At 50.7% G+C, this 21,405-nt stretch overlaps 1 protein-coding gene across 5 annotated transcripts in view; it reads left to right on the top strand.

Annotated features, from left to right (window-relative positions):
• Positions 1-500: 500 nt before the first annotated feature.
• The window catches only part of GSG1L (GSG1 like), a 276,187-nt gene continuing 255,282 nt past the window's right edge, over positions 501-21,405 (top strand). For all 5 annotated transcript variants that reach the window (NM_001323901.2, NM_001109763.2, NM_001323900.2 and 2 more), the window contains exon 1: positions 501-1,139. In NM_001323901.2, coding sequence (NP_001310830.1) covers positions 791-1,139 — 349 coding nt within the window. In that variant the 5' untranslated portion in view covers positions 501-790. The remainder of the gene's footprint in view (positions 1,140-21,405) is intronic.

Genomic DNA, 21,405 nt, shown 5'->3' with positions numbered 1-21,405 from the left:
AAGTCCAGCATGGGTTGTCTTATCCAGGGGGTCTTGCAGCTCCCTGGCTGTGGGAAGCCCTGCAGGCTCTGCTGTTTAGAACCTTTGGAAAAACTCCTTTCTCAGGGTCTGGTGCGGGGGTCCTTTTGGGGATCCCCTTCTGGGACAGGGTCCTGCTGGTCCGTGTCCCTCTTGGGGAGCCCCAGCAGGCTCTGCCCTTGTCTCCTGGGGCAGGGCCTCTCTGGGTCTCATGAGATGCCCGCTCCCGGCGGGTTTTGTTGCCCCACGTCCGCCGTGGGGATCTTTTCTCAGGAGCGCCTTGCCTGGGATTCTCCTTGCGTCTCAGACCCTCACCCTGGCTCGGATTTCTTTCGGGGGCGTCCCTCCACTCCCAGGCCCCCGCCCGCGCCCGGCGTGGCGGCCCCCTCTCCCCGTGCGGGCGGGCTCCGGAACAGTGTCGCCGGCCGCCTGCAGGTGTCTCCCCACGGAGGGGCGCGCGTCCCTGCGCCGTGGCCGCTGCCAGGCGCCAGCGGCTCCTAGCCGAGGTGCACTCGCGCTCCGGGCTCCGGGCGCGCCGTAGCCGCTCCTCCACCGCCGCCCGCCCCGCCAGCCCGCCCCGCACGCCCCCCGCGCCGCGCCCCCACCCCGGGGTTGGGGGGGGCATGGGCCCGCGCCGCGTCCGCCGCCGCCGATCTCAGGCACCCGAGCCCCGGGGCGCGGCGGGCAGCGGCCGCTGACGCGGGGCGCCAGCTGCCAACTTCGCGCGCGGAGCTCCCCGGCGGTGCAGTCCCGTCCCGGCGGCGCGGGCGGCATGAAGACTAGCCGCCGCGGCCGAGCGCTCCTGGCCGTGGCCCTGAACCTGCTGGCGCTGCTGTTCGCCACCACCGCTTTCCTCACCACGCACTGGTGCCAGGGCACGCAGCGGGTCCCCAAGCCGGGCTGCGGCCAGGGCGGGCGCGCCAACTGCCCCAACTCGGGCGCCAACGCCACGGCCAACGGCACCGCCGCCCCCGCCGCCGCCGCCGCCGCCGCCACCGCCTCGGGGAACGGCCCCCCTGGCGGCGCGCTCTACAGCTGGGAGACCGGCGACGACCGCTTCCTCTTCAGGAATTTCCACACCGGCATCTGGTACTCGTGCGAGGAGGAGCTCAGCGGGCTTGGTGAGTGCGCGCGGGCGGCGGCCAGCTCGGCTCCGGCTCCCCCGGGGCGGCGCGGCCATCGAGGCCCGAGCCCCGGACCCGTTCGCCCTCCTCCCGCCGCCTGGGCCCAGCTCCCAGCGCTCCGCCTGGCTAGGGGCGACGTTCCGGGGCAGGGGGCGCGCGCCGTTCCGGGGCCGGGGACCAGCATGGGGGGACGTGCGGGACGCCCCGCCGTGGAGAGGTGCAAGGCAGAGCTCCTACCCGCTGCGGACGCCCCGCGGCTTTGGGGACGCTCCCGCGCCCCGGGAAGGCGCCCACCCCCGCTGCCGGTCGGAGGGGCGCGCGCTGCTTTCCGCTCCTGAACTCATCTCCACGCTCGCCCCCTCCTCCTCTTCCTTTCGCGGGGCACTAGATGCCCCCACCCACCCCGGAACGCCCCTGGGGGTGGGGGTGATGCAGGGACTCCTGCTACCAGCCGCCCCTCCTGCCGCAGATCCACAGACCCGGGAGCCTTCCACCCCCATCGCCAACCCACGCCGAACCTCCCAGACGGGAGTGGGGAGTGGGGGAGTCCCGCGGGCTCCCGGAAAGCCGCACCCGCCCAGAGGCACCCCTATTGCCAGACGCCAGGGAGCCCTCTGTATCCTGGCCCCCTCCTGGGAGAGGCAGGCTAGGGAACTGGGGACAGCTGGGCAAACTCCGGGTCGAGGAGTCCAGGAGGGCTTAGCTTAGCACAAGGCTCCTATTAGGTTCGGTGGGGGACTGACTTTTCAGAAGGCAGATCAGACTGTCCCCTTTGCCTGGACCCCCTCCTCTACCCTCCAGAGGCAGCCTGGGCTGGAGTGCGTGTTTTGGAGGCAGACAGCCGGGCTGTGGCAGGGCCCAGGGGACAGCTGCCGGACAGCTGGTTGTGCCACACAGCAGGTAGAGCTGGCCCGAAAGACGTGGTATCTCTGAGCGGGTGTCCAGGCATGGACACCCTCCTGAGTGAATTGACCTCTTTCTCCAAGGTTAAAACTCCTCCCTGCATGCCTAGCTCCTCAGTGTGGACACCACACATATGTGTGTGCTCAAGGGTGGGTTACAGCAGACCTCCACCCTTAGTTTGCCCTAAATAAGCCAGTGGCCTAAGTGGTTTAGAGGGCAGAGGGAGGAAGCTGTGAAGCGAACCCAGTGAAAAGCTCCAGGCCTCTGCACAGGCTGCATCCTCTGTCTGGAATGCCCTTCCCCGCCCCACCTCCTTCTTCAGGGGCTCCTTTCACTGGGACTCTCCCACCTGCCTTCCATGTCAGGATACTGAGGAGGGACAACCTTGTGAGCTCCCCGTTGGAGGGAGGGTCTCCATCTTTGGATCTCACCACTGCGTTTATCTCCCTGCCACACTTGGCACTCCCTGACATTTTCTGGGGCCTGTTTTTGGTCACTAGCTTATAGTCCCCACTCCCCATAGGATGTCACTCTGTGAGGGCCAGCCCGGTTGGTCTTGTTCACTGCTGCCTCCCAGTAATGTCTAGCGCATAGTAGGTCTTCAATAAACATTTGCCGGGTGCATACTGGATGGGGTTGGGATGATGAACCGGAGGCTTCCTGCGGTGCTGCCTCCTCTGTCTCTCTTCTGGGGGTGGCTGACCAAACTTTTCTGTGACTTGAGCCAGGCTGGCCGTTTGTCAGAGATACATGGTGTTTGAATATGGACCTGCCCCTGATTGGTTTCATCCCATCAGACCCACTTCTGGTTTACACTCAACACTCAAATGTTTACTGTGGGATGCAATTAAAATTATTAACTTCAAAAGGCATCTTGGCCAAAATTCCCTGCCTTCCGCACAGCCCAACCCTAATCTCTCACACGGAGGCCTCGTAACACCTTGTTGTCAGGAACATCTTCGTCCTTGGAGGTAGACATCTTGCTACTGTACATCTTTCTCCAAGTTCAAGAAGGTGTTTCCAAGGCTCAGGAGACCCAGCCCTGGGGAGATACCACCTCTGCCTCCCTTCCTCTGTGCACACACCTGAAAATACAATGAGGCATCTCTGGCACCGGAGTGGTCCTGTCTCTACCTCTGTGGAGTGTCCTGGTCCAAGCTGCTCAGCTGAGCCTCTTAATTGTTTGGAGTCTCTGTTGGCTGCTCCCTGAAGGTCACGGTCCCAGTACTTGCTACAATTATTTCCCTGTAGTTCTTTCAGGGCTTGACTTGGGATATTTAAGTATTTTAAAAAATTATTAATTGAAAATTATTTAAAAAACAATGTTGGCTAACATTTATTGAGCCTTTAACGTTCACCAGGTCCTGCTGAAACTTCTCATCTCCTGAATCTTGTTGAATCCTGGCCGCCACCTTTGAGGCAGACACTTCTAGGGTACTTGCTTTTTCAGATGAGGAACTTAGGCTCACAGGGGATTCTGGCAAGGGAGCTGGAATTACCTTCTCGGGAACAGAAAGAAATCAGAGTGAAGGGATCGCGGAAGAGAATAGTACAGTTGAGGGGTCAGGGAAGTTGGCATTTTGGGGGACTCAGTTAAGACCCTCACTCCCAAAACTCAGTTAGAAATGCGGATGGTTAGTTTGTTGCATAAATAAAAGAAACCCCCAGTTTCCTCTTGGCCACTGTGGGCTGGAGATCATCCCTCCCCCAAAATCACAATTTTCCTCTCTGAGAGCTTGGAAAATAGTTATCAGCTTGTCAGTGCTGGTGAGAAATTTGGGAATCGGAGCCAGCTGGGGTGGTTTCTGCAGCTGATCCTACAGTGCCAAAATCCTGCCTTCTCCACCACGGTGGTCCTGAAAGGGTGATAGCAAGTACCTGGCCTCAAACTTTTGTTGCCATGACAACCTTTCCTCTGGGTTCTGTGACTATTTTATTTTTTTACTCGAAGAGGAAAAAAACATCCCAATAGCCCCCTGAACAAAATCTCGCCTCCCCCACCCCTATACATCAAGGCTAAACTTCCCTCCCTTCCATCAAACTACAGCAAAGCTTTCTTTCCTTCTGTGTGTTTCACGTGCATCCAAATGCGAACACCAACCAGGAGATCCTCACCGCTCCGTGAGAAGGAGCTGCTAAATGTTCCCTCCTCTCCAACGCCTGTTTGCCTGTTCGGCCATTCCTTTCTAGGCTCAGAAAAACCTCTCCCCACTCGGGCAGCCACAGGGAAATGTAATAAGCCCTTTTTCCCACACTAAAAATCTACAGTGTTCACAAAGAAAACTGCAGCCTGCCCTAAACAGACACACTTTCACCAGACCCTGCACAAAGAAACCTTTTCTCCTTGCTCCAAGAAGAGCACCCGCGTCCTTCCACAAACAGAAAGGGAAGCGTGGCCTCGACACAGAGTCACCCCAAGCCCTTCACACAAATTGGATTTCTCTTCTGGTTGAGACGCTGGGGAGGGGTTTGGTGGGGAGCAGAAGCAAGCATCGTTCTAGTCAGTGTGGTGGGGGTGGCTGAGGAGAGGCCTGGAGGAGGGGAGAATGAAGGTCTGGGTTAGGGGCGATGGTGGGGCAGGTGGGAGCTTGTGCCAGCTGGGAGCACAGGTGACGTCCACATGCGTTGGACTTCATCCTGTATGCTTTTGAGCCGCAGGAAAGGGGTGGCTTGGGAAGATTGGGGGGAGGTGGAGGGGTCTTGGGGGACTTGCCAGGCTGGCAGGAGGGAGGTGAGACTGGAGAGAGAAGAGAGAGACCAGTCCCAGGGCTGGGTGGTGACGGGGTGGGTGTGAAGCCAGAAGACCCATGCAGGACCCAGGCGGGGAGCCAACACACCCCACACCGCGGTGGCCCCTCCCACAGTCCCAGAGACGTTGGGGTAGGAAGGAGCATGTTTCCTTCAAACTCAAAAACTCTCTCCCCTGTAGAACTGGTGGAAGTTCAAGGCTGGGCTCAGCCTCTTACTAGCAGCGTGGTTTCAGGCAGGAAACTCCCAGGGCTACTGTGTAGGTGGGGATCAGAGCAGCTAGCACCCGCCGGAGATGCAAGGATTTGGTGACGTAGGGCAGGGAGTGGGGAGCACCACCTCGGTGTTGCCGCCACCCTGGGCTGAGCCACCCACAGCCACCCGTGTCTCCCATGGACTTCTGCAGCCATCTCTCCGCCTCTGCCATCACCCCCACTCCCCAGTTCATCCTGCACCCAGCATCCGAGTCATCGTTAGATGTGGGGCACAGCACCTCTGACTGCCCTCCTGTCATTCAGAGTCAAGTCTCCAGCTAGCCTTCCCTGTACCTGTCTTGTCTTCCTTTATTTTGAACAGAGAACCCCAGCTCTTCTGCCCAGTCCCCTAAATTATGCTGCTACAGTGTCACAAGTATGAGGACCCCTGTGATGTCCCCAACCGGGAGGTTTTTGGTGCTTGGGAGTATGTTAGTGTCATATTCGATGTGTTTCATGTTGGGAGCATCTGTTGGGCAAAGATTTGCATGATGGAAGGCATTGCTCTAACTCCTCGACATGGTTTGTTTGTTTTTTTTTTTTTTTTGGTCTTGTTCTGTGGCTCAGGCTGGAGTACAGTGTTGTGAGCACAGCTTACTACAGCTTCCACCTCCTGGGCTCAGGCATCCTCCCGCCTTAGCCTCCCGAGTAGCTGGGACCACAGGTGTACACCACCATACCTGGCTAATTTTTGTATTTTTTGTAGAGACGAGGTTTCACTATGTTGCTCAGGATGGTCTCAAATTCCTGGCCTCAAGCGATCCGCTTGCCTCGGCCTCCCAAAGTGCTGGGATTACAGGCGTGAGCCACTGTGGCTGGCCTGACAAGTATAACTTCCTTTGTCTGCATAATAGCCCTACGAGGTGGGTGCCGTGGTTGCTCTCATTTCCTAGGTGAGTAAACAGAGGCACAGAGAGGTGAAGTGAGTTGCCCAAGGTCACACAGCTAGTAAGTGGCAAAGCTGGATGTGCACCCAGGCGGGAGGCTCCGGAGCCTGGCTCTTGCCTGCTGTGCTGTGCTGCTCCTCAGTCTCCCCAGCCCAGCTCACTCAGGCTCCCTTTGTTCCTCCAACCAGGCTCGTTGGGCGGAGCACTGCATCTGGAGTCACGAGCCCCGGGTTTGGCTCCAGGCTTTGATGCCAACTTACTGAGTGGCTTCAGAGAAATCACACTCCCTCTCTTTCTGGCCTTTTCTTTCCTTGTGTGTAAAATGGAGGTTTTGTTGAGTGTTTTGTGTGGATGATGGAGGTGACAGAGCCCTGTCCCATGACCCATCACAGGGTTTGGGCCCAGATGGTCCAGATTCTAGTCCTCATACTACTGCCAGCTGCTGTGTGGCCTTGGGTAGGAGTCTGCCCTCTCTGGGCCTCAGTTTCCTTGGCTGGGGCATGAGGATGATCCTATCTGCCCCATGATAGCATCGTTGGGGTTGATCCAGATAACGTGGTCCCAGCACTCCACTGGCCACAGCCAGCACTTGGTAAATGGGACTTGCTGCCATCTGACCCGAGGCTGCAGACAGGTGGCCCGTGCATCACATCTGAACCGTGTATCTGTTTTGTTTGGCCCTGCAGTGTTCCCAGTGTCTTTGAATAAGTTGCCAACATTTGAATATGGAGCCACTTCATAGAAACATCTGGATTTATGGCTTTTCTTGAAAACTTGGCAGATGGAGTCTGTACTCCCAATGGGAGTGAGTGGAGCTGCCCCTTGGGGGAATCCACGGTGCCCCCCCACCAACCAGTTCTGCCCTCAGTTTACACGAATTGCCGCCCTTCCCTTCTAGGAGCTCAGGCCTCCAAACCTCAGTTTGGATGCCTAGTCCATTGGTCCAACCTGCCAGCCGGTCAATCAGAACCCAGTGCGTCCCACCTTGCCCCGCAGCTCCCCCTGCTCCTGGCTTTGACTTCATGGTCCGTTTCTCCACCCGGTGGCTGGAGGGTTCCCTGTTCCATCTGAGGCGGATCACCCCCGTTCCCCACTCCGGACCCTTCCTCACTCAGTCACAGTCGAATGCCTTCCAAGGACTGCCAGGAAGTCTGCAGTCTTCTCTGCTGCCTCCTGCCCTTCCCCACTCCTCTCTGCCCCCACAGTCACTCTTCTTCAGCCACACCGGCCTCCTTACCGGCTCTTTGACAGGCCGAGGCTTTTGTACTTGCTGTTCCTTGCCTCCAGGAACTCTTCCATAAGACAACCCCGTACAAGTCTCTGCTCAAATGTCCTCCAGTTTGTGAGGCCTTCCTGGACCACCCCACTGAAATTAGCCGCCTTGCTGCCCGCCGGCACTCCCCTGCACCCCTGATGTCCCCACTGCTCTGATCGAGGTCATACCCACTGCGTATCACACTGTCTTCTCTCTATCATCCATCTCCCTGCTGGGACGCTGGCTCCCTGAGGACAAGCCTTGTCCCGGTCACATCGTGCTGCCCCCAGAGCCTAGATGAGCTGACACTTCAATGCCGTAGGACTCAGCATGGCAGCTCATCCAGGCTCTCGGAGGCAGCACCGTGTGACAGGGACCAAGATTTTTTTTTTTAATATATATTTTTTATTATACTTTAAGTTCTAGGGTACATGTGCACAATGTGCAGGTTTGTTACATATGTATACATGTGCCATATTGGTGTGCTGCACCCATTAACTCGTCATTTACCTTAGGCATATCTCCTAATGCTATCCCTCCCCCCTCCCCCCACCCAACAGCAGGCCCCGGTGTGATGTTCCCCTTCCTGTGTCCATGTGTTCTCATTGTTCAATTCCCACCTATAAGTGAGAACATGTGGTGTTTGGTTTTTTGTCCTTGCGATAGTTTGCTGAGAATGATGGTTTCCAGCTTCATCCATGTCCCTACAAAAGACATGAACTCATCATTTTTTTATGGCTGCATAGTATTCCATGGCGTATATGTGCCACATTTTCTTAATTCAATCTATCATTGTTGGACATTTGAGTTGGTTCCAAGTCTTTGCTATTGTGAGTAGTGCTGCAATAAACACGCCTGTGCATGTGTCTTTACAGCAGGGACTAAGTTTTCAGGAGGGACTCAGGGAACACTTGTGGAATGTACTGGGGCTCTGGGGACTTCTCAGGGCTTCTGTGGGCAGCGAGAGGCCGGGGCTCTCTACTCCGTGCCTGTCATTCCCGTGGACTTGTCAGATGTTCTTCTTTCTTCCCTGCTCCCTCTCTTGGTTTATTTCCAAGGAGAGGTGTTTAGTGGGATCCTGTGGGGAGCTCACGTCACTCCCCCGTGTTTAAATTCTGGGGTGCCAGACTCAGAGCTGTCTTGTGAGGATGCTGCAACCTCGGGCCTCTGCTGCCTTCAGGACGGTGCAGGTTAAGCTCTTTTGGTCTCAAGTGATGGAAACAAACTCGACCCCAGATAAGAATAAAAGGGGAATGGGCCGGGCGTGGTGGCTCATGCCTGTAATCCCAGCACTTTGGGAGGCCGAGGTGGGCGGATCACCTGAGGTCTGGAGTTCAAGACCAGCCTGGCCAACATGGCGAAATCCCATCTCTACTAAAAATATAAAAATTAGCCGGGTGGTGGCAGGCAGCTGTAGTCCCAGCTACTTGGGAGGCTGAGGCAGGAGAATTGCTTGAACCCGGAAGGCAGAGGTTGCAGTGAGCTGAGATCGTGCCACTGCACTCTAGCCTGGGGGACAGAGCAAGACTCCGTCTTAAAAAAAAAAATTAAAAAAAATAATAAAAGGGGGAGTTTATTAGAACAATGCTAGCTCGGCACAATGGCTCACGCCTGTAATCCCAGCACTTTGGGATCCCTTGGGGAATTCAAGACAAGCCTGGGCAACATAGCAAGACCCCCATCTCTACAAAAAAATTAAAAATTAGATAAGTGTGGTGGTGTGTGCCTGTAAGTCCCAGCTACTCAGGAGGCTGAGGTGGGAGGATCGCTTGAGCCCAGGAGTTTGAGGCTGCAGTGAGCTGTCATCGTGTCACTGTGCTCCAGCCCGGGCAACAGAGGGAGACCCTGTCTCAAAAATAAATAAAAATAAAAATAGAATAATGCTGCAGCAAAGGTGAAATCACCACCCCTCAGAGGCCAGAGCCAGGGCCACTGGGCTCCTGGAGGCTGGACCTTCCCTCGGGTCCAGAGCCACCAACTAAAATCCCACAGAGGCCAGCCTGGAAACCTACGAGAGTGACGTGAGGAAGGAGTAGGGGGCCTGCGGGGGCTGGGCAACCGCTGTGTAGTTCCAGAAGCTTTCTCACTGCAGGAGGGGGTGGCTCGTGGAGTGCCTAGTGGTCCATTTTTGTTCAAAACTCCCAGTTTTTATATGACATCTGTTGATTGTTCACATTTGGCAGCAAATCCATTTTTTTTTAAAGACATCTGATCTGCAGGCCAAAATAAAACACTTTCGAGGGGTGGGTAGACCCTTGTCCCGTCAATTTGCAACTTCTAGGCCAGAGTTTTGCTCTTGACAGGATTGAGTTCCCAGCCCCCAGTTGTTTTTCTTTTTATGTAAAAATATTTGTAATAATAATATTTTATTATTTTATTTTATTATTATTATTTTTTGAGATGGAGTCTCAATGTGTTGCCGAGGCTGGAGTGCAGTGGTGCAATCTTGGCTTACTGTAACCTCCGTCTCCTGGGTTTAAGCGATTCTCCTGCCTCAGCCTCCTGAGTAGCTGGGATTACAGGTGGCTGCCACTACACTGGGCTAATTTTTGTATTTTTAGTAGAGACGGAGTTTCACCATGTTGGCCAGGCTGGTCTCCAATTCCTGACCTCAGGTGATCCATCTGCCTCAGCCTCCCAAAGTGTGGGTGATGTGGGTGAGATATGGAAGAGGACTTGGCCCCAAGCTTGCCTGGAGGGGGCAGGGTCCCTTCTCAGGGGCCGTCCTTCTTCCCCGATGGTGGGGACTGGGGATGGGAGGTGATGGAGGTAGAGGAGGGTCGGTGCTTCTGGAAGCAGAGCTGGGGTGGGTATTTGGGCTGGAGCTTGGCGAGGACAGTGGCCGTGGCAGCCTTGTCCCATGTCCTGGCCTCCCAGAGTGTGCATCAGAGATAGCCACGGGGGAGGAGGGGAGGAGGAGGGCAGGAGACACAGACATTGTGAGGAGTGGGGAGTGACAGACGCAGGGCGGGTGGCACACACAGAATCTGAGAAGGATGCAGAGGGAGGCTGCGAGGGGGACCGAGGGGACCACAGAAGGAGTGACCAACAGAGAGAAAGGCAGACACATACAGAGGGAGCGAGCGAGGAGAGAGACAGAGACACAGAGACCCAGAGAGAGATGAGAAGACGCAAAGGGAGATCGAGGCACGTGCACCGCATTGGGTGCACACCCGGACAGAGATGCAGAGAGCAGCAATGAGACAGAAACAGACAGAGATGGAGAAAGGGAGAAATATGTGGGCAGAGAAAGAGACACACGTGTGTGCACACACGCATGCATGCACAGACACACACATGTGCACGTGCACTCACACACAGGGAGGAGGGTGCCCGAGAAGCTGGAGAGGAGAGAGGCGAGCGAGGGGAGCCCGAAATAGCCCAGGGGAGGCGGTAGCAGCACACGTGGCCCTTCCCGCCTCGCCTTGCTCTTTTCCAGGAGGCCCCTACAGGGGAAGTGACTCCTTGAGGCCTCAGCCCCGGGGGAGTGGCTGCGCCCCATCCAGACGGATGAAGAAGACCAGACCCTCCCTCATCTGACTCTGCCCTCCAGTCCCCCTCTGTCCTCCCAGTTGGCAGCAGTGGGTGGGTGCAGTGTTTGGAGGATGGGGGCTTCGTTTCATCACTGACCCCTCTTCATGTTGCCCAAATAATAATAATAATACGCTAATAATAACAACAAAAAGAAGTCTTCTGTAAAGTGTGACTAGAAGAATACAAACATCTTAGGAAAACAGTGCTATTTTTATTAGTCATTCACACTCTAAGCAAACGTGGCATGTGGGAAGCAGCTTCTCCCTAAGTCAACTTGATTGCCTCTGTCCCCTCTGGACACATTTGTGGGGCTTCTGCTCCCCTTTGTCTATGTCTGCATGCCACCCCCTTCTCTCTGGGCCTCTCTCCACCCTGGTTTCTCTACAGGGGATCCTTTTCTGGAAGAGGGCATGGGAGGCTGAAAGCCCCACTCCTCCAGCCCCTTGGACACCACTGGCCACACTCTCTGCCCCCCTCTGCCAGCCTTGTCCCAGGCAGCTCCACTTGGCCCGGGCCCCACCTTGAGGGAGACTTTCTGGGTGGTCCTGGAAGGGGCATAGAGGAGGAAAACCCTCTCCAGAACACAGTTGGGCGGGGCGGAGAGGCAGAAGACTTGGACACGAGTCACTGTCTCCGCTTGGTGGATCTCTCCACATGGGGATCTCACAGGCATCTCAGATTAACATGTCCCTACCTAATCATCTGTTTTCTGCCCTCCTCAGCCAGGGCAGCCTGGGCTATGCTGTTGCAGCTATCTGCAGCAATCTGCAGATGTGGGAGGTTGCAGACAACCCTAGTTGACTTCTTACTCCCGTGACATGTCCATAGCAGGTCAGTGGGGGGCTCTACTTCATGGTGACCTCACTGGGGACCTGGATAAAGGATGCTCCATCTCTGATTTTCCATGGCTGTCAAGGCAGGAAAGGGTATGAGTCCTTGCCTAGAAGTGGCACGGACCATCCTGCTTGCATCTCATTGGTCAAAGCAAATCACATGGCCATGTCTACCTTTTCAAGGACTGGAGAATTTCAGTCCTACTATGTGCTTAGAGAGCAGAGACCTGGGGCCAGCAGGGTGGCACACATCTGTAATCCAAGCACTTTGGGAGGCTGAGGTGGGAGGATTTGTTGAGGCCAGGAGTTTGAGACCAGCCTGGGCAACATAGCGAGACCCAATCTCTAAAAAAATATTTTTTAATAATAATAAAAAAAAGAAAGTAGAAACCAGGGAACACTGATAACAGGTTGAACATTGGTGGCACAGATGACTCCTCCACACCCCACTCCTGCCCCTCTCTTAGCCCCATCTCAACAAAAGACAGCTCCATCTTTCCAATTTCTCAGGCAAAAGACCTTGGAGTCATCTTTGACTCCTTTCTCTCTCTCCCCACAGACACAAACACACACTCATCCTCACACAGCTCATTTAATCTATTGGCAAATCCTGCTGACTCTTTTCCCAAACACATCCAGAGTCTCACCATTTCTCCCCGTCTCCTCCGCCCCCCTGGTCTGAGCCTGCACCGTCTCTGGCCTGGATGACTCCAGCATCCCACTCACTGGTCATCCTGCTTCTGTTTATCCCCCACCGTGCTGAGCAATCCTACTGCATACTGCTGGAGTCCCTCTGCTCAGACCCTCCAATGGCTCCCATGTCATTCCTGGTAAAGCCAATGTCCTCCTGGTAGCTACAAGACCTGCCATCACCTGCCCCGTTACTCTCTGCCCCATCTCCCATGATGCTCTTCCTCGTTGTCTATGCTGCAGCCCCACTGTCCTCTTGCACACACACCTCCAGGCATGCTCCTGCCCCAGGGCCTTTGCACGTGCAGCTCCCTTAGCCTGAAACTCTTTCTCCAGATTTCCACACCATCACTTCCCTCAAACGTTCCTTGTGAATGAGGTCTTCCTTGGCCACCCTATTTAAAGTCGCAGTCACCTCCCCACCTTATTCCACTACGCAGCTTGTTTTTTTTTTTTTTTCGTAACACTTCCCCCTACCTGACATGCTGCCAATTGCTCGATCTACCTCAATGCCTCAGTGATGTGCAACCCACGCTTTTGCAAATCACTGTCTGAAAATCAACACTTTGTTTTATGAACAAGGAAATGCAAGTCTCTGCAGGGAGAGACCCTTTTCCAAACCATCCCCTAGTCACCGGCAGAACTGGCACCAGAACCTGGAGCCCTGCTTTCTAGTTGCTGATCTTTGTCTATCCCTTAAGGTTCTGCTAGACCTTGACCTTCAGTTTTCTGACTTATGCCCTGTTGGTCAGAATAGCTGTTATTCAAAAAATGCCCACTCCAACCAAAAGCCAAATTTCCTGGGACTGGTAGGTAATGAACACTTGGGTTGACTCAGAAGGAGAGTCTACAAATTCTCATCCCTTCTTTCATTCATTTTCATGAACACCTACTATGTGCTAGGCTTTGTCTAGGTGCAGGGGACTGTAGCAGGAAACAAGACGAATGAGGGTTTTAGTTTCATGGAGCTTCCATTCCAAAGGAGGAAGACAGACGACAGGAGGTGGTTTCTTCATTTGCGCATGTAACCTAAATTTATTAAGCCCTTACTTGTGGATTCAGTGGGGGACAAAGCGGACAGTCCTTGTCTTATGGAGCTTGCATTCTGGAGGGGACAGACAATGAGAACAGATACATTGGTGATGGTGGCTTATATGTCACCAGTTGCAGATCAGAAATGACCCCTGGAACTCAGGGGATCAGGAAGCAGTTGGGCTCCTCTGAGTTGGTGAAGGCTAATAGGCTCTTGACAGCATAAGCCATAACCTCTTTGTGACTTTTGAAGCCTGCTTTACATTTTTTCTCTAACGGTGATGGAGTAGAATTTTGAGACCCAAGGTCATCTTTCCAAAAGGCACCAAACCCTTACCTGCTGGCCGAGTTGTTCCAACCCTTGAAGTATTTTCCAAGATACCTATTTCTATCTTTAAAGATCTGTCCTCCTAGCTGGGTGCAGTGGCTCATGCCTCCAATTCCAGCCCTTCTTTAAGGATCTGTCCTCCTACCTGGGTGCAGTGGCTCACGCCTCCAATCCCAGCCCTTCTGGAGGCTGAGACAGGAGGATTGCTTGAGGTGAGGAGTTCAAGACCAACATAGCAAGACCCCATCTCTACAAAAAACATTAGCCAGACGTGGTGGTGTGCACCTGTAGTCCTAGCTACTGAGGAGGCTGAGATGGGAGGATCCCTTGAGCCCAGGAGTTTCTTGGCTGCAGTGAATTGTGATTGCACCACTGCACTCCAGGCTGGGTGGCAGAGTAAGACCTTGACTCTTAAAAAAAAAAAAGATTTGCTCTCCTTTGTAATAAGAGGTCATTTGGAAGGAGTTTTTGGAAATTGTCTTGTCTCCTTTGGTATTCATTCATTCATTCATTCATTCATCACATCTATTAAACACCTATTCTGTCCCAGGTCTTCTTCTAGGCACCAGGTTTACTAGGTGAACTTCATATATAAGGTTCCTGCCCTCAAGGAGCTTCCTTCCAGTGGAGAGAGAGAAAATGAGTAAGTTAAACCGTAGATAAATCAATAATTTCATATAGAGATGTAGTGCTTGAATTCCATGAAACAGAGTCATGAGGTAGCTCTTGCAGGTGGAGTTTTGCATACGGTGTTGGGGAGACTTCTTTGACAAGGTGACATCTGAACTGAGTCCTGAACGACTGTAAGAGGGCAGCCATGGAGTTCTTGGGGGAGTACAGGGGAGGATTCTAAGCAGAATAAGTTAGTCCTTGCTGATTGATCACTTTAGTCTTCCACTTCTTCTTCTTTTTTTTTTTTTTTGAGACAGGGTCTCACTGTGTTGCCCAGGCTGGAGTGCAGTGGTGCAATCACAGCTCACTGAAGTCTTGACCTTTCAGGCTTAGGTGATCCTCCCATCTCAGCCTTCCGAGTAGCTGGGACTACAGGCATGTGTCACCATGCCCACCTAATTTTTAATTTTTTTTTTTTTTTAGAGGTGGGGTCTTGCTATGTTGCTCAGGCTGGTCTTGAACTTCGGGGCTCAAGTGATCCTCCTGCCTTGGCCTCCCAAAGTGTTGGGCTTACAGGCATGAGCTACCACACAGTCCAGTTTTCTACTTCTTAAGTCAATTTTTAGTGAGTTGTCTTTTCTCAGAAAATAATTTCTTCATCAAGAGTTGCAAATGTATTTGCATAAAATTTAGCATAGTATTTTAGCTATTTAGCATAGTATTCCTTTTAAAAGGAATTAAAAGGAATTTTAAAAGGAATTTAAAAGGATTTAAAGAAAAAGCCTCTCTTTGATGAGTTTCCTTTTCTCATTCCTGCTCCTGTGTATGTTGTGGTTTTTCTTCTCTTTCTAATGGCTTTGTCTTGCTCAAGTCTACCAGTGGTGATATGGGCCCTGTAAAAATTGCTTTCCAGACCTCCAGAGAGAGCCGACAGGCTTGAAACCTTTACACAGGATCTGTACTGAGACTGCGCATCCTCAGGCCCCAGGCCTGATTTGTTCTACCCTTCTCCCTTTTTTTCTCCAGCCCAGGTCTTGCCAGCTTAGCTGTTTTATTGCCCCCTCCTCCATCTTTTTTAAAAAAGCCTCATTACTCTTGTATTTATTGATTCTGTTTTTTTAATTTTCTGATACATCCTAGTTTTCTTTAGTCTGACTTTTCTGAGGTTTGTTAATGTTTGCAAGTTTTTACATTGAAAACTTTGTTTTTTCATAGTTAAAAAATTATGAATGCATTTAATGCTATGAGTTTGCCTCTGAGCACCACTTTAGCCATATCCTATGAGTGCAGTGCTTTAAAATGTGGTGCTTTCTTTCAGATGATTTTCTAAAAATTATGCAATGACAATTTTGTTTCTAAAACTTCAGAAATTTTGATTTTGTTACTTCATTGATCCAAGAATAATTTAGTAGAACGTTAAAAATTTCCCAGTATAGGCCAGGTGCAGTGGCTTATGCCTGTAATCCCAGCACTTTGGGAGGCTGAGGTGGGAAGATCACTTGAAACCAGGAGTTAGAGACCAGACTGGGCAACATAGTGAGACTCTGTCTATTAAAAAAATCCCAGTGCCTTGTCTTATTTGCTTAATTTTTTGTCATTAATTTATAATTTAATGAATGATAGAGAAAGTAGCCTATGCAATTTCTGCCTTATATTTTTTTTTCGTAAATGTTTTATTTGAAAAAGCAGGTACATTCCCTGTGTGCAGTTTAAAGCAGTTTTATAGATAGTATTATTTAAGGGCTTTATATTGTTATATATATATTTTTGAGGCAGAGTCTTGCTCTGTCGTCCAGGCTGGAGTGCAGTGACAACATCATGGCTCACTGCAGCTTCAACTTCCTGGGTTCAAGTGATCCTTCCATCTCAGCCTCCTGAGTAGTGGGACTAAAGGTGCATGCCACCATGCCTGGCTAATTAAAATTTTTTTTTTTTTTTTTTGTAAAGATGAGGTGTTACTATGTTGCCCAGGCTGGTCTCAAACTATTGGCCTCAAGCAATCTTCCTGCCTCAGCCTCCCAAAGTGCTAGGATTACAAGCGTGAACCACTGCACCCAGCCTCTAAATTGTCATTTATTTATCTTTACTCCCTTTATCTGCCAAAAGCTGGATGAGGTAGGTTAATCTCTTTCTCTTCAATAGGATTCTTCCCATTTTTACTTGAATTTCTGATAGTTTTTGTTTTCATAAAAAAGTTTGAGTCTATGTTGTTCATCACAAGAAGATTCTTGACAGTTATATTTTCATTGCGGAATTGTGGATTTTATCTTTTGTCAAGATAAAATGGCTATTTTCCCCCAGTGAATGCTTTTTACTTTGCATCCTATTTTTTTCATATTTTAATATTGCTATCCCTGCTTTCTTTCGTTTGTATTCCCTTGATATATCTCTTACTAGACTTTTTATTTTAACTTCTCCATGTCTTTTTGTTAGGTGAATATCTGGTAAGAACATAGAGTTAGCTTTATTTACTTATTTTTTGGTACAATCCGAGAGTCTTAAACAAATACTATTTATTTCTATAACAAATACACTTGGCCTCACTTCTTTCACTTCTTTCTTTTTGTTGAATGTTCCCAATTTTTAGTTTTTTTTTAATCTTTTACTATATAGATTAGGTTTTGCTTCTTTTTTTCTTTACTAATGTTTTAAAAAGCATGCATACTGATATTAATTCTGTTTTTAATACTTGGACTTCCATTTTTGTTATAATTATGAAGAACAAAACAGCATATATTGCATATTTCCTGGTAGGATGAGAAAATTAGTTGCTCTTGAATTCTGTTTTTTATTCATACGTGTCATAATCGTTGCAACTTAATTCCATGCTTAACTGGTTTCATGGCTAATTGCAAGTCCCTTTCGTAAACTTTCCCCGTTTTTATTCATATGGGTGCTGGTTGGCTTTGAACGCAAGATATGATGGTCTATGGGCTGGTCACTGTCCACGTGCTGGGTCCCATGATGGAAGCTGGATTCAGTGAAGAGGATGACTAGGTTCCTGTCCTCATGGAACTTCCAGTTGTGTGTTTGTGCTCATGTGCATGTGTGTGCATGCGTGTGCATGATACACAAAGAAGCAAACTTTTCCCTCTCTGAGCAGGTGGCATCTGAGTGAGACTTGAAGACTGAGAGGAAGTCGGCCACAGGTGATCAGAGGAAACCGTGTCCAGGCAGAGGACATGGCACGTGCAAAGGCTTTGCGCAGGCTTTGTGCAGGGATAGAGCAGGGCGACTTTGAGGAACAGGGACAAGGCTGATGCGCCAGAGTGCAGTGAGCCTGGGAGCCAGGGAGCGGTGATGCGGGAGTGGAAGCAGAGACGGCCACGAAGACTGGATTTCGGGCCGGGCTTGGTGGCTCAAGCCTGTAATCCCAGCACTTTGGGAGGCCAAGGCAGGCGGATCATGAGGTCAGGAGATCGAGACCATCCTGGCTAACACGGTGAAACCCCCGTCTCTACTAAAAATACAAAAAATTAGCCAGGCATGGTGGCGGGCGCCTGTCGTCCGAGCTATTCGGGAGGCTGAGGCAGGAGAATCGCTTGAACCCGGGAGGCGGAGCTTGCAGTGAGCTGAGATCACACTACTGCACTCCAGCCTGGGTGACAGAACTAGACTCCGTCTCAGAAAAAAAAAAAAAAAAAAAAAAAAAAAAGAGTGGACTTCCTCCTCAATGCATGTGGCACACTCCCCAGTGCTTGTTTTCCTAGCAATAGCTAACGGCCTGCGGATGTGTATGGCCTCGTGGCTGGGCACAGACTCCACAGGTTTAAACCTTTCCCCTCAATATCCTGAGGGCAGCTGTCCATGTTTTTTGGCATCTGGTGATGAGGAAGTGATGTCTGAGGTCAGCCCCAATTTTTGTTCCTTTATGGACAACATTATTAATATTTTTCCTGAAATCCTACATGATTTTTCCCATTCATCTTCAAAATAGAGAATTTCATGATGGAATATATAAATGTTGGGTCTTTAATTTTTATTTAATTTTTATTTTTCTGGAGAAAGAGTCTTGCTCTGTCACCCAGGCTGGAGTGCAATGGTGTGATCTCAGCTCACTGCAACCTCTGCCTCTCGGGTTCAAATGATTCTCCTGCTTCAGACTCCTGAGTAACTGGGATTACAGGCACCTGCCACCATGCCTGTCTAATTTTTGTGTTTTGAGTAGAGGTGGAGTTTCACCATGTTGCCCAGGCTGGTCTCAAACTCCTGAGCTCAGGCAATCCACCTGCCTCAACTTCCCAAAACTGTTGGGTTTTTAATTGGCCTGGTACTTGTTGAGGTCAGCTTAGGAAGACTTGATTGTATTATTATTATTTGAGATGGAGTTTCGTTCTTGTTGCTCAGGCTGGGGTGCAATGGTGTGGTCTCGGCTCACTGCAACTTCTCTGGCTCCTAGGCTCAAGTAATTCTCCTGCCACAGCCCCCCAAGTAGCTGAGACTACAGAAGCGCACCACCATGCCCAGCTAATTTTTGTATTTTTTGTAGAGACAGGGTTTCACCATGTTGCCAGGCTGGTCTTGAACTCCTGGCCTCAAGTGATCTTCCTGCCTTGGCCTCCCACAGTGCTGGAATTACAGGCGTGAGCCACCGCTTCTGGCCAATACACTTTTTTAAAGCAGTTTTAGTTTCACAGCAAAATTGAGCATGGAGTATCGACACATCCCATATCCCCCCTTTCTTCACATATGCATAGCCTCTCCCATTATCAACATCTCCCACCAGAGTGGTACATTGGTAACAACTGATGGGCCTTCACTGGCATGTCACTATCACCCAAAGTCCACGGTTTACATTAGGGTTCACTCATAGCGTTGCACTTTCTGTGGGCTTGGACAAATGTGTAATGACATGGACCCACCATTGTAGTATCAGACAGAGTCGTTTCACTACCCCCAAAAAATCCCCGATGCTCTGCCTTTTTGTCCTTTCTTTCCCCCAAACTCCTGGCAACCATTGATCCTTTTACTGTCTCTATGGTTTTGCCTTTTCCAAAAACTGTCATAGAGTTGGAATCACACAGGATGTAGCCTTTTCAGACTAGCTTTTTCATTTAGCAATGTGCATTCATGGCCGGACGCGGTAGCTCACGCCTGTAATCCTGGCACTTTGGGAGGCTGAGGCAGGCAGATCACCTGAGGTCAGGAGTTCAAGACCAGCCTGGCCAACATGGCAAAACCCCATCCCTACTAAAAATACAAAAAATTAGCCAGGCATGGTGGCACACGCCTCTAATCCTGGCTACTTGGGAGGCTGAGGCAGGAGAATCACTTGAACCTCAGAGGCGGAGGTTGCAGTAAACCGAGATCGTGCCACTGCACTTCAGCCTGAGTGACAGAGGGAGACTCTGCCTCAAAAAAAAAAAAAAAAAAGCATTCGTTGCCTGCATGTCTTTTCATGGCTTGATAGCTTGTTTCTTTGTAGTGCTGATAATACATGCCATCGTCTGGGTGTGCTGTAGTTTATCTACTCACCTACTCAAGAGCATCTTGGTTGCTTCCAAGTTTTGGCAATTATGAATCAAGCTGCTATAAACATGTATGTGCAGCTTTTTATTTGGGTGTAAGTTTTTAACGCCAACTAACTACCAAGGAACACAATTTTTGGATAGTTTGGTAAGGGTATATTTAGTTTTGTAAGAAGCTGCCAAAATGTCTTCCTTCCTTCTTTCCTTCTTTCCTTCTTTCTCTCTTTCTCTCTTTCCCATCCTCCTGCTTTGGCCTCCCAAAGTGCTGGGATTACAGGCGTGTGCCACCATGCCTGGCTAATTTGTGTGACTTTAGTAGAGATGGGGTTGTACCATATTGTCCAGGCTGGTCTGGAACTCCTGAGCTCAGGCAGTCCACCTGCCTCGACCTCCCAAAAATGTTGGGTTTTTAATTGGCCTGGTATCTGTTGAGGTCAGCTTAGGAAGACTTGATTGTATTATCATCATTTTTGTTATTTAATACAGTTTTTTTTTGTTTGTTTTTTTCAGACAGGATCTTACTCTCTTGCCCAGGCTGGAGTGCAATGGCACAATCATGGCTCACTGCAGCCTTGACTTCCTGGGCTCAAGCGATCCTCCCATCTCAGCCTCCTGAGTAGCTGGGACTACAGGCATGTGCCACCATGCCCTGCTAATTTATGTATTTTTTACAGAGATGGGGTCTCACCATGTTGCCCAGGCTGGTCTCGAACTCCTGGGCTCAGGCAATCCTCCTGTTTTGGCCTCCCAAAGTGCTGGGATTACAGGCGTGTGCCACCACACCCGGCCCAAACCGTCTTTCAAAGTGGCTGTACCATTTTTCATTCCTCCGGCACTGAGTGGGAGCTCCTGTTGCTCCACATGCTTGCCAGCATTTGATGTTGTCAGTGTTCTGGGTACACTTTTACATTTTAAGTGTACTTTTCTCCTATTCCAGTTCCTACTATTTCATACCATCCATCCAGGCTATCCATGCAGGCTACCCATCTTCAGGGACACCACTTATTTATGGAATTGCTTTCTGTCCTCTGACCTCTATGTCTCTCGTTTTCTCTGTCATAATTTTAATGTTCCTTTTGACTCCTTCTTTTGTATTCCAAAATAGTTTAGAAAGTTCGTCCTCCAGCTGTTGGTACCTCTGAATGTTTGAGAGAGGACTCCGAGCCTCAAATCCTTTATAGTTTTCTATGCTCGTGATCAAAGCTCTGCTAGACCAGCTTTGAGGATGCCTTTGCCTGGCCTGAGAGATCTCGTCCTTGCTTTCCACCCTCTGGGTTCCAGCCTGGCTTCTGTTTCGTCTTCTAAAGGATGGCAAAGGAGGCACTTTCACCAAAGCCAGAGAAGGCTCTAGGCCCTAGTTCCAGTTCCATCTCAGAAAAGACACAGAAAAGAAAGAAACATTCTCTCTGCCCCTAGTGTTGTACCTAATTATGTCCATGACTCATATCAAAATACCTCGTCTTTGGCAGGGAATTAACTTTCTGGAGCTCGGTGCCACTAACACTCTACATTGTTGATTCAATTTTCCGTAGGATTGAGTCTGCTCCTTGTGGCTTCAAATGTGTATTTTCGCTCTGCGTTTGCATTTTTAGCTCCTTTTCAGCCCGTGCTTTCCCCATTTGGCTTCCACTTCACCTAGCCTGCCTTCCTGGCAGCTCTCCTTGGCTAAATCTGTTGTCTGATCTTCCGATCTGCCAAGTCTTCGTGATAGAGTTTATA

Source organism: Homo sapiens, chromosome 16 (genome assembly GCF_000001405.40).
Source record: "Homo sapiens chromosome 16, GRCh38.p14 Primary Assembly".
NCBI lineage: Eukaryota > Metazoa > Chordata > Mammalia > Primates > Hominidae > Homo > Homo sapiens.
The sequence above is the reverse complement of the archived record's forward strand: the minus strand, read 5'-3'. Positions and strand labels throughout refer to the sequence as shown.